Here is a 13,595-nt window from a genome sequence, read left to right on the forward strand (position 1 = left end):
GATGGGTTTTTGCCATGTTGCCTAGGTTGGTCTCAAACTCCTGGCTTCCAGTGATCCACCTGCCTCGGCCTCCCAAGTGCTGAGATTACAGGCATGAGCCACCATGCATGGCCAAGTCTCTTTGTCTTGAAAAAAAAATTAGCCGGTGACTCATGCCTGTAATCCCAACACTTTGGGAGGCCGAGGCAGGTGGATCACCTGAGGTCAGGAGTTTGAGACCAGCCTGGCCAACGTGGTGAAACCCTGTCTCTACCAAAAATACAAAAATTAGCCCAGTGTGGTGGTGCAGGCTTGTAATCCCAGCTACTTGGGAGGCTGAGGCAGGAGAATCGCTTGAACCCAGGAGGCAGAGGTTGCAGTGAGCCAAGATTGCCCCCATTGCACTCCAGCCTGGGTGACAGAGTGAGACTCTGTCTTGGGGGAAAAAAAAAAAAAGCCCATTGCAGTGGGCGCACCTGTGGTTCCAACTACTTGGGATGCTGAGGTAGGAGGATCTCTTGAGCCCAGGAGTTCAAGGTTATAATAAGCTATATCACACCACTGCACTCCAGCCTGGGTGACAGTACAAGACTCCATTTCTAAAAAGAATAAAAATAAAAAAAGAGGTCTCAGAGAACTGCCTTGCCCCTTCTACCATATGAGGATACAGGGAGAAGCTGTCATCTGTGGACCAGGAAGGAGGCCCTCAGCAGACACTGAATCTGCTGGTGCCTTGATCTTGGACTTTGCAGACTCCAGAACTACGAGAAATACATTTCTGTTGGTCGTAAGCTGCCCAGTCTATGGTATTTTGTTACAGCAGCCCACAGTGGACTAATATACTCTCATTGAGCTCACATATAGAGAAGGGAAGAGTCTTGTTCTGTGTTTCCTGAAGAAGCAGAACTCGGCATGGGTCCATGGGAAGATTACCTAAGAGCCCATGGGATCCTGCACTGCCTCCTAAGAGATGCATTTCCATCAAAAGGCAGACAATGGCACAGTGCGCTTCCTTGGCCCAAGTACCTGTTCTAGGCACTGCATGAGTATTTACTCATTCAAGCCTCAGAGCACATACCCTCATCCTATGATGAGAAACTGAGGCAGAGGGATCCCACAGCCAAGCTGGAAACCCAGCAGCTTGGTCCCAACAGGTACAGTGGCACGATGACACCAGGGAGCCTGTAGCTGATCTCTGGGTTTCTTCTGACTCCACCATACAATGAATGCACTCGGCATGGGCAGTCTTCAAACAGTTTTGTTTACATACCCCCAAATGTCATTTTAAATGTTTTTTTACCCCCCTTACACATTAAGTTGACACCTAAAATATTATGTAAGTTTAAATAGTTACAAAGAACATAACTTCTGGAACATTGTAAATATTGACACTTAAAAATAAAACTGTCATCTCACTTAAAAAAATGTAACCAGATGGAACAGAAAAATACCATATCGATTTGATATCTTATATAATCCATTCAAAACAGTGTAGTTGTCCCTCTATATTTGTGGGGGATTGGTTCCAGGACCCCCAGTGGATACTAAAATGCACAGCTCAAGTCCCTGATGTAAAATGGTGCGGTATTTGCATAGAGCCTACGCACATCCTCCCATATGCTTTAAATCATCTCTAGATTACTTTTTTTTTTTTTTTTTTTTGAGATGGAATCCTGCTGTATTGCCAGGCTGGAGTGCAGTGGTGCGATCTCGGCTCACTGCAACCTCTGCCTCCCAGGTTCAATCGATTCTCCTGCCTCAGCCTCCCGAGTAGCTGGGACTACAGGCGCGCGCCACCGTGCCCGGCTAATCTTTGTATTTTTAGTACAGATGGAGTTTCACCACGTTGGCCAGGATGGTCTCAATCTCTTGACCTCATGATCCGCCCACCTCAGCCTCCCAAATTGCTGGGATTACAGGCGTGAGCCACCGCACCTGGCCTAGATTACTTCTAATACCTAACACAATGTAAAATGCCATGTAGTAAATAATCATACTGTATTGTTTAGAGAATAATGACAAGAAAAATGTCTGTACACCTTCAGTACAGAGATAACCATCATAGGCCTGACTACATTTTCCATCCACAGTTGGTTGACTCTGAGGGCATGGAGGGCTGACTGTACCTGAGCCACCTCTTCTTTAATATTTCACATCACTCTTTTCCTCACAGGACCCATTTTCCATTTTAATTCTTCCACATATTTTTATCCTAAGGAGATATTTTTATGTTTGAAAATCTTATTGATTATGCTATATACTTGTCTACAACAAAAAGTATATATAAATTGAAATCTGAAATTTTTATTTCCTGTGAGACCAAGTGTTAGAAAACATTCTTCTGGGCTTACTTATCATTACAACTGTCAGAACACAACTAATCAAACACAAATATATTACAAAGTTTGAATAATAATTATTAGTCATGAAAGTGTCACTCATTAGTCATACATTTTTGTTGGAAATAATCTCTTAAGGAAAATAGTGGACTTTTCTTTTTCTAATTCCCAGACTCAGGAAGAACCGGATGACCCATTGCTGGAGTCAGGGCTCTTCAACAATTCTTTTCCCGTTCCCCATGTTTGTGAATGTCAGTGCTTACAGCTGCGGTCCCAGGAAGCGTGGGTGAGAATGGAAGGAAATTCTGTTACAGTGACTCAGTGCTCTGACCCCTCCCAGGATATCCTCCAGAACTCGCATGCTGCTCTCCTACCGACAGTCCTGGGTGAGAACCCACAGCTGGCGACTCAGCCATCCTGCCTCAGGGTGATGGAAGCTACAACTGAAGTCACCTGGCTTTCAAAAGGTTCTTTTGTGGCCGGGCGCGGTGGCTCACGCCTGTAATCCCAGCACTTTGGGAGGCTGAGGCGGGCGGATCAGTTGAGGTCAGGAGTTCGAGACAAGCCTGGCTAACACAGTAAAACCCCGTCTGTACTGAAAATACAAAAAATTAGCCGGGTGTGGTGGCAGGTGCCTGTAGTCCCAGCTACTTGGGAGGCTGAGGCAGGAGAATGGTGTGAACCCAGGAGGCGGAGCTTGCAGTGAGCCAAGATCGCGCCACTGCACTCCAGCCTGGGCGACAGAGCGAGACTCCATCTCAAAAAAAAAAAAAAAAAAAGGATCTTTTGTGACCCTAATTGAGTCTGGGTGTCTACAGAAAGGTGTGATAGATGAGATTACCATCCAAAAGTCATCGCTCCCTTGCCCTTTACAGTTGATTTCTTACCCCAGTGGCGCTGAGCTCAACCGTGTGACTGTCAACGGTCGACAGGATGTCAGCAGTCCTGCCCTCAGAGGCTTACATGCAGTTGCCCCGTCTGGTTGCCAGGTTGGTCTCAGCCAGGTGGCCTAGAGAAACCTTCCTCCCTGCATCTTCCTCAGCCTGGTCGCTGAGGGCATGTGAAGCCAGGTCCATCTGGAGGCAGAGCCTCCCAGCCACACGCAGCTGCGCCAGCTAATGCACAGAGGTGGAGTGAGGGGAACACGTGTTGTTACACAGCAGAAGCTGAGTCAAAATCCCCAAGGGGCCTTTTAAAACGTGGAAGTTGACAAATTGGTGCCAAAATGTAAATGTAACTGCAAGTGAGTTAGAAGAGCCAAAAATAAGTATCTTGGAGAAAAAGAACAAAATTGGATGATTTGCAATAGCCACTTTCAAGACTGACTACGCTTGGTTTCAGGAGTCATTATAAGGCTGCAGTAATCAAGACAATGTGGCATAGACATAAGAACAGATGAGAACAGTGGAACAGAATAGCAAGTCTAGAAATAAATCCACACATAAATGGCCAATAGGTTTTTGACCAAGGTACCAAGGCAAGACAATGGAGAAAGATTTTTTTCAACAAATGGTGCTGGAATAATTGGATTTCCGTATGGAAAATAATGAACTTCAACATCTACCTCACATCCTTCACACTAATTCAAAATAAATCATAGACCTAAATATAAAACTAATATGGCGGGGCGTAGTAGCTTATGCCTGTAATCCCAGCACTTTGGGAGGCCCAGGCAGGAGGATTGCTTGAGCCCAGAAGTTCAAGACCAGCCTGGCAACGTGGCAAAACCTCATCTCTATAGAAAATATAAAAATTAGACGGGCTTGGTGGCATACACCTAGATCCTAGTAGTTCATGGCTGCAGTGAGCTCTGATTATGCTACTGCACTCCGGCTTGGTGACAGAGTGAGACCCTGTCTCAAGAAGGAAAAAAAAAAAGGGAAAAGAAAGTCCCAGTTACTTGGGAGGCTGAGGTAGGAGGATCGCCTGAGCTCGGGAGGCTGAGGTAGGAGGATCGCTCGAGCTCGGGAGGCTGAGGTAGGAGGATCGCTCGAGCTCGGGAGGCTGAGGGAGGATCGCTCGAGCTCGGGAGGCTGAGGTAGGAGGATCGCTTGAGCTTGAGGGGTCGAAGCTGCAGTGAGCTGAGAATGCACCACTGCGCTCCAACCTAGGTGACAGAGTGGCACCTTGTCTCAAAAACAAATGAACAAACAAACAACCTTAAAAATTAATGCTATATAGCTTTTAGAGGAAAATATGGTAAATATCATGCAACCTTGGGGCAGGCAAAGATGTCTTAGAGAAGATGCAAAAAGCACTAAGTATTTTAAAAAGTATTAATTAGAACTTCATTCAAATTAAGAACTATTGCTCATCAAAAGATACTGTTAAGAAAATAAAAAGACAAGCCACGGACTGAGAGAGAATATTTGCAATACATACAGCTGACAAAGGACTTATATCCAGAATATATAAAGAATGACTACAAATCAATAATAAAGTAAAAAACTTGATTTTTAAAAACCAGCAAAAGGCCACGTGGAGTGGCTCACGCCTATAATCCCAGCTACTTGGGAGGCTGAAGTAAGAGGATTGTTTGAGCTCAGCAGTTCAAGACCAGCCTGGACAACACAGTGAGACTTGCTGTAAAATAAATAAATAAATACATAAAATAATTTTTAAAAAATGAGTAATAGCCTGGGTGACATGGCAAAACTGCATCTCTACAAAAAATACAAAAATGAGCCGGATGTGGTGGTGCATGCCTGCAGTCCCAGTTACTGGGGAGGCTGAGGTGGGAGAATCACCTGAGCCCAGGAAGTGGAGCTGGCAGTGAGCCATGATTGAACCACTGCACGCCAGCCTGGGTGACAGAATGAGACCCTGTCTCAATAAATTAAATAATTTAAAAAAATAGCCAAAAGATTTGAACAGACCTTCATAAAAGCAAACAGTTGGCCAGTTGTAGTGGGTCATGCCTGTAATCCCAACATTTTAGGGGGCTGAGACAAGAGGATGCCTGGCTGCAGTGAGCTCGGATCGTGCCACTGCATTCCAGCCTGGGTGACAGGGTGAGACCCTGTCTCAGGAAAAAAAAAAAAAAAAAAAAAAAAAAGAGAGAAAAGAAATAAAAACATACCTACCCAAAAAGACTTGTATGCAAATGTTTATAGCCACTTTATTCATTAAGCCCCGAACTGGAAACAATCAGATATCTATCAATAGGAGAATGGTAAACGAACTGTAGTCTATGTACCCAATAGAATACTATTCAGCAATTAAAAAAAAATTACAGGCCAGGTGCGGTGCTCATGCCTGTAATCCCAGCACTTTGGGAGGCCGAGGCGAGTGGATCACAAGGTCAGGAGTTCAAGACCAGCCTGGCCAACATGGTGAAACTCTGTCTCTACTAAAACTACCAAAAATAGCCAGGTGCAGTGGCAGGTGCCTGTAATCCCAGCTACTGGGGAGACTGAGGCAGGAGAATCACTTGAACCCAAGAGGCAGAGGTTGCAGTGAGCTGAGATCATGCCACTGCACTCCAGCCTGGGCTACAGAGTGAGACTCCATCTCAAACAAAACAAAACAAAGAAAACAACAAACACACCACATGGATGCATCCCAAAAACATTGTGTTAAGTGAAAGAAGCTAGACACAAAAAAGCACACACTGTATGCTCAGTTGATATGAATTCAAGAACAGACAAAAACTAATCTATGCTGTTGGAAATCAGAACAGTGTTTGCCTATAGGCTGGGAACTCCCCATGAGTATGTTCTATATCTCAATTTGAGTGATGGTTACACAGGTGTATGCATTTGTTAAAATTCATTAAACTGTGCATTTCACTGTATGTACATTTACCTCAACAAAAACAAAAAGAATTTTCTGAGGCTGATATCTAATATTAATTTAAAAGGATCAAGTTTAACCTAATATGTTCAGTAAGGTGTGAGGAACATAAAAATACTGTTGTATCATTTACATCTTTGCCAATAAATTTTTGTTGAGGAGTCTCACTCTGTCGGAGTTAATTCACTTATATCTTTGCCAATAAATATATGTATTTTTTGACACAGAGTCTCACTCTGTTGCCCAGGCTGGAGTGCAGTGGTACGATCTCGGCTCACTGCAACTTCCGCCCCGACCCCGGTTCAAGCGATTCTCTTGCCTCAGCCTCTCGAGTAGCTGGGATTACAGGCGCCTGCCACCACGCACCTGGCTAATTTCTGTATTTTTAGTAGAGACGAGGTTTCATCATCTTGGCTAGGCTGGTCTTGAACCCCTAACCTCGTGATCCACCTGCCTCGGCCTCCCAAAGTGCTGGGATTACAGGTGTAAGCCACTGCACCTGGTCAAATTTTTTTTTTTTTTTTTTTTGAGACAGAGTCTCACTCCAGGCTGGAGTGCAGTGGCGCAATCTCTGCTCATTGCAACCTCCACCTCCCGGGTTCAAGCGATTCTCCTTCCTCAGCCTTTGGAGTAGCTGGGACTACAGGCACCCGCCACCACACCCGGCTAACTTTCGTATTTTTGGTAGAGACGGGATTTCACCATGTTGGCCAGGCTGGTCTTGAACTCCTGAACTCAGGTGATCTGCCCGCCTCGGCCTCCCAAAGTGCTGGGATTACAGGGTTGAGTCACCACGTCCGGCTGCAATAAAATGTTTTTTAAATAAAAGTTATATTACTCTTTAAATATTAATACATTTTTGTCAAAGTTGTAACTGTAGATTTAGCTTATTCAATTTATGGAAAAATATGGCATCTGATATCTGATTTGCAGAGCCCGTCCCCCTTGTCAAACAAGAAAGCCAAATAGACTCTCTGTCAGGTGACTTCATTTTTCAATTCAAATAAACGTGCTAATACACATTTCCAGGATTATTATAGAAGCCACTGAGAAATAAAGAATATATTTGTAAGATAGATTACTAAACGCAGTCAAGATTAAAATGATAAGATATAATTAATGTATCTATTTTACCATGTTACAAGAGCAAGAAAATAAATCATACTGTATCCACTTTAACATAATTTGTAATAATACAGTATAATGTGTGCTTAGAGTAGTAAGTTACGAAGCAAGGAGTACGATAGAAAGCATGATATTCATTTGGTAAATGTATGTGAGCACGTATAATGATTTTTTTTGGCTTTGGGGATTTATTAAATGAGAATCAAATATAAAAATCAGAAGTAACTCCATCCATGTTGTTACATATCATGACCAGATTTTCTTATGAATGTAAAGAAACAGAAAGTCACACACTGCTTAAAAAACAATCACTCTGCAAAGGAGGGCCTCACTTTTTTTTTTTTTTTAAAGAAAACGTGTATATATATTTGTGTGTATGTATATATATATATAAACACACACACACACATATATATACATACACACAATCACTCTGGACGTTCACATATCATTTTTACTTTTTGCTGTTAGGAGTGGAAAATATGAAGCACTTGATAAGATGAAATAAGATGAGGATTGACCAAAGTTACAGCATTTTAATACAGCATATTAAAGTGATTTAAAAAAATCAGTTTTAATTACTTCACTAATCAATACCCACCCAGTATGATATTGGACAGAAGTTTTATCTGGGTTTTATCCAGTAGATCTTGAAAAATATGATAGTCCGAGACAACACTCCAGTTACATTTCAAAAATTATTATTTTTAAAGAGACAGGATCTTGTTCTGTCACCCAGGCTGGAGTGCAGTGGGTGATCATAGCTCACTGTAAACTTGAACTCCTGGGCTCAAGCAATCCTCTTGCCTTAGCCTCCTGAGTAGCTGGGACTACAGACATGTACCCCCATGCCCACTTAATTTTTTAGGTTTTTTTTTTTTTTTTTTTTTTCAGATGGAGTCTTGTTCTGTCCACCACACTGGAGTGCAGTGGCACGATCTTGGCTCACTGCAACCTCCGCCTCCCAGGTTCAAGTGATTTCCCTGCTTCAGCCTCCCAAGTAGCTGGGACTACAGGCGCGCACCACCACACTCGGCTAATTTTTGTATTTTTAGTAGAGACGGGGTTTCACCATATTGACTAGGCTGGTCTCGAACTCCTGACCTTGTGATCCGCCTGCCCCGGCCTCCCGAAGTGCTGGGATTACAGGCGTGAGCCACGGCGCCCAGCCAATTTTTTAGTTTTTAGTAGGAACAAGGTCTCGCTATGTTGTCCAGGCTGGTCTCAAACTCCTGGCCTGAAGTGATCCTCTTGCCTCAGCCTCTCGAGTAGCTGGAATTACAGGTGTCAGCCACCATGCCCGGCCTGTTTGTTTGCAGAAAGATAACAAATTAAAGCCAGGCATGATTCAAAAGTTTTAAACAACGCACACAGCCCTCCTTATTGCTACACCTGGTCATTGCTGAACCTGGTCAAAGCCTGAAAGCCAGGACACCTGGGGGCTGGGTTCCAGCGCCAAGGTGACCTAAGAATTTAAACTCCCAAACCCCCATTTCCAAGTGAAGAGATTAAACCCTCCTGCCTTAGTGGGTCACTGTTAGAGGACAGTGCCTGGCACACGTGAACTCAGTATTAGCTGTTGTCATTGAGAGAGAACATGAGGGACAACTAAAGGACAAAGGATGTGTCACTTTAGGTGGAGATCAGAGCCCTCTGGGCTCGTCATTCCAGCATGTCCACTCATCTGCAAAAGGTTAGACCTGGACGAAAGACCTCTGGGGCACATCACCAGTGCCTTTTTACTTTGGCATTGAGCTTTGATTTTACTGGGTTGTGTGGATGGGAAACCCAACCAAATATGGCAATTCTGATATTGTCAGGTATCAGATCGTTTCAAAATGTAATATGTGGGGTCTTCATCCCTGGGGAGAATCTGGGAGAGGCATTTGGCCTAGTGGTTATGTTACAGTCCTAAACATGAGGCCGACCCAGCTTCCAACCCAGTTCTGGCACCTACCTACTCACTACGTGGCTGTCAGATTACTGTGTAACTGTTTCTTCACCTGTGAACCAGGGATAAGCATCGTACCACTCAGGTGGTGTGAGTTGAACTAGAGGCTGCTGCTGACAGCGTCCTTTATACTTCAGTGGACCACAAAAACACCAAGCATGGGTCTTCCCACAACCTCCCCGGCTCTTCTCATCCCAACCTCAGCCCATCTCCACTCCTACTATGGCCAAATCCACACTTCCTTCCAGGCCTCAGGCATTACCTACAGCTTCTCATTTTGTTCTGGAACTTTGACCTTAATAGGCTAGAATGGTCTCCACCCTCTGACTCCTACACTTTGTAGTGTGCAACCCATGGTACCTAGTCAGTTGCAATGTATAACCCTAGTATATAATAATCTGTAATACTCAATCTCTGGTGCGGTTAGCTGGTGTACAATCTGCAGTGCATAGTTAGCTGTACTGTATGACCCCTGTATATAATAAACCGTGGTTGTTGTTTTGAGACAGGGTCTCGCTCTGTCACCCAGGCTGAAGTGCAATGGCACACTCACGGCTCACTGAAGCCTCCACCCCTGGGGTTCAAGTGATCCTCCCACTTCAGCCTCCCACATAGCTGGGACCACAGGCACACACCACCACACCTGGCTTTTTTTTTTTTTTTTGAGATGGAGTCTCGCTCTGTTGCCCAGGCTAGAGTGCAGTGGCATGATCTTTTCTCACTGCAACCTCCACCTCTCAGGTTCAAGCGATTCTCCTGCTTCAGTCTCCCGAGTAGCTGGGACTACAAGCACCTGCCACCCTGCCTGGCTAATTTTTGTATTTTTAGTAGAGACGGGGTTTCACCCTGCTGGCCAGGCTGTTCTTGAGCTCCTGATCTCAGGTGATTTGCCTGCCTCGGCCTCCAAAGGTGCTGGGATTACACGTGCAGCCGTGTGCCTGACCTGAACTAGTACTGAATTCTCGGTGCACAGTAGCTGTAGCGTGTAATCTCACAGGCAGGGGCAAAAGTTATTGTTAAAGATGTCCCTAACTTAAAGATGACCCCTTATAACTCAAAGCAGCATTTAAATAAACATGTAGAATCTATAACCCTTGCCAACAGATCCTTACCGTTGTGCAAGCTGACTGCATTCCAGCAGTGGCACAGAAAGATGCACATGATAACTGGGGTTGGCCGACCTCCAGAGGAAACTGGCACCTGAGCCTGTAAAGCCTTTCGGATTCAGTTGAGCTTCTTGACTCGTTTCTAGTGACAGCTAGAAATGTGAAATTATGGGTCTCAAAGACTTTGAACACAAGTCAAAACTCTTACTAAAATGTTAGAAGTGCTGGCTTTTAAGAACACTCCAGGATGGAAGAACAGAAACTTCCAGTACGCTGATAGAGAGCTAAGTTGTAAATTATACTCAGTGACCTGGGCTGGCAAGTAAGGGGGGTTCAAAAAATCAGTCGCTGGGGACTCAATCTTTTAATGAGCTCCCTTTGAATAAGGTGATTTCCAATTGTTTTTAAAAAGGGGAGAGAAAGTATTCACATTTTATTTTTTTTGAGATGGAGTCTTGCTCTGTTGCCCAGGCTGGAGTGCAGTGGCCCGATCTCAGCTCACTGCAACCTCTGCCGCCAGGGTAAAGCAATTCTCCTGCCTCAGCCCCAACTAGTAGTTGGGATTACAGGCATGTGCCACCACACCTGGCTAATTTTGTATTTTTAGTAGAGATGGGGTTTCGCCATGTTGGCCAGGCTGGTCTCGAACTCCTGACCTCTGGTGATCCACCCGCCACGGCCTCCCAAAGTGCTGGGATTACAGGTGTGAGCCACTGCGCCTGGTCTTACATTTTAAAATCCTTTGGTTTAAAGGTAGTGTACTCTAGTATTAAACGTGTATATATAAATGTTGTAATTACATTATGAATAAAAGCACTCATATTTCAAAAAGTGTTCATATTTCAAGCAGAAACCATCTTCTCTATAAAATTTTTAAATTAAAAACAGGGAAACTGTAACCTTAATGATCTTGAAGTTTCTGGTCACGAGTTATTAAAAAAATGTAAACTGGTAGTGTCTTCAAAAGGTTTTAAGGATCCCTTTGCATTAAGACAGTTGACTGAGACCGGGCGTGGTGGCTCATGCCTGTAATACCAGCACTTCGGGAGGAAGAGGCAGGCAGATCATTTGAGGTCAGGAGTTCGAGACCAGCCTGGCCAACCCCACCTCTACTAAAATTACAAAATTTAGCTGGGCGTGGTGGCGGATGATTGTAATCCCAGCTACTCAGGAGGCTGAAGCAGGAGAATCACTTGAACCTGGGAGGCGGAGGTCGACCACGCCCAGCTAATTTTTATATTTTTAGTAGAGAGAGGGTTTCACTATGTTGGCCAGGCTGGTCTCAAACTCCTGACCTCAGGTGATCCGCCTGCCTCGGCCTCCCAAAGTGCTGACATTACAGGCATAAGCCACCACGCCCAGCCTTTAAAAAGTTTTTAAAAGCTAATCTTCTCTGTATCGTTCCAATTTTAGTATATGCGCTGCCAAAACAAGCAGTATTTTTAAATTTTTTTAAAAGAGACAGCGTCTCACTCTGTCACTCAGGCTGGAGTGCAGTCGTGATCACAGCTCACTGGAGTCTCAACCTCCTGGGCTCAAGTGATCCTCCCACTTCAGCCTCCAGAGTAGCTGGGACTACAGGCGCACACCACCACACCTGGCTAAAAATCTCCTTCTTATTATTATTATTTTTGAGATGGAGTCTCGCTCTGTCACCCAGGCTGGAGTGCAGTGGCCTGATCTCGGCTCATTGCAACCTCCCGCCTCCTGAGTTCAAGTGATTCTCCTGCCTCAGTCTCCTGAGTAGCTGGGACTATAGGCATGTGCCACCACACCTGGCTAATTTTTGTATTTTTAGTAGAGATGGGGTTTCACTATGTTGGCCAGGCTGGTCTCGAACTCCTGACCTGACCTCAGGTGATCTGCCTGCCTTGACCTCCCAAAGTGCTGGGATTGTAAGTGTGAGCCACTGCACCTGGCCAAGATCTTCTTTTTAAAAAAGAAGTTCATGTTTCTGAAGACTCAATTTCTAAGACATCTATACTCCCCAAACCAATCTATAAACTCAATGAAATCCCAATCATAACAACCCCTCTGCCAATTTTTCAGATAAAAATACGGGGAGGTACAGTTAACAAGATGAATAGTCAAGCCCCAGGATGAGAGAAAATACCTAGAAAACAAGTATCTGACCAAAGACTGATATCCAGTGTGTAAGAACACCCATTACTCCACAACAACATGATAAACAGTTTTCTTAAAAATGCAAAATATCTGAGCAGATGCTTCACAAAAACATATATAAGTGGCTAAGTATAGAAAAAACAAAACAAAACAAAACAAAACGCTCAACCTCATTAGGTATGGAGGATAAAAACGACTGACACTACCAAGCATTGGTGACAATGTGGAGCAACTGGAATGTCCATCCATGAAAATGGTATAACGTCACTGGAAACCAGTTTGGCAGTTTTTAATAAAGGTAAGCATACACTTACCAGATGTTCCAGAACTTTCCTGCAGAGTTTACTTGCCCAGGAGGAATGGAAACACCGTCCCCAGTTTTATTTCTAATAGAAACTGAAAACCACCCAATGTCCCATTCATCAACAGGTGAACAGGGAAATACGCAGCAATATATTCTTACCATGGAGTATTATCAGAAATAAAAAGGAATGAACTTCAGATACACACAACATGGATATTCAAAAACATCACTCGTAGTGAAAGCAGCCAGAAATGAGAGTATATATGGTGTAGTTCTAGAAGCAATCTGAAGTGTAAGAAGCCATTTCTAGCGATGGAGACCACACTAGAGGTTACAAAGGAGAAACAGGGACCTGCCCTCCAGAGGTATGAAGGCACTTCCCAAGTGCTGGCTCTTTCTCATCTTCCTCACACTGGTCACTAACTGGTCGTATACATTTGAAAAAAATTGAGCTGTTTATTCAGTGGCTCTTATTGTATGCAAGTTAAATCCTACTCAAGTTGATTAAAAGCAGGGTGGTGATTGCCCTTCTTGGGGAGCAGTGCGGGAGGGAGCCCCAGGACCTCTGGGGTGATGTTACTATTCTCTGACCCTGGGTGTAGTTACAAGAGGACATTCCTTTGGGAAAAGTTCAGTAAGCTCTACATTTGTGTGCCCTTTTCTCTACCTACTCTTTAATAATGGAGAATAAAAAATAGGAGAAAAATGATGAGATTGTGAACACTTCTCCCAGCTAACTTGGACAGGTTTTCAGGTGCTGCATGTATGGTTTGTCTCATTAAGCAGCTGTTACTGAGGTAGTATAAGGAAGCTGAGTAATTTGAACACTTTTAGTTTCAAATGAACTTTTCTCTGGGTCTTTAGATTTGAAATTC

At 44.1% G+C, this 13,595-nt stretch overlaps 1 annotated feature.

Annotated features, from left to right (window-relative positions):
- Nucleotides 1,946-3,145: an enhancer, noted in NCBI's record as "P300/CBP strongly-dependent group 1 enhancer chr8:141655407-141656606 (GRCh37/hg19 assembly coordinates)". NCBI's record gives its function as "activates an origin of replication core promoter dependent on BRD2, BRD4, P300/CBP, MED14 and CDK7 cofactors, with strong dependence on P300/CBP, by STARR-seq in HCT116 cells {active_cell/tissue: HCT116}" and the evidence as "EXISTENCE:reporter gene assay evidence [ECO:0000049][PMID:35650434]".

Source organism: Homo sapiens, chromosome 8 (genome assembly GCF_000001405.40).
Source record: "Homo sapiens chromosome 8, GRCh38.p14 Primary Assembly".
NCBI lineage: Eukaryota > Metazoa > Chordata > Mammalia > Primates > Hominidae > Homo > Homo sapiens.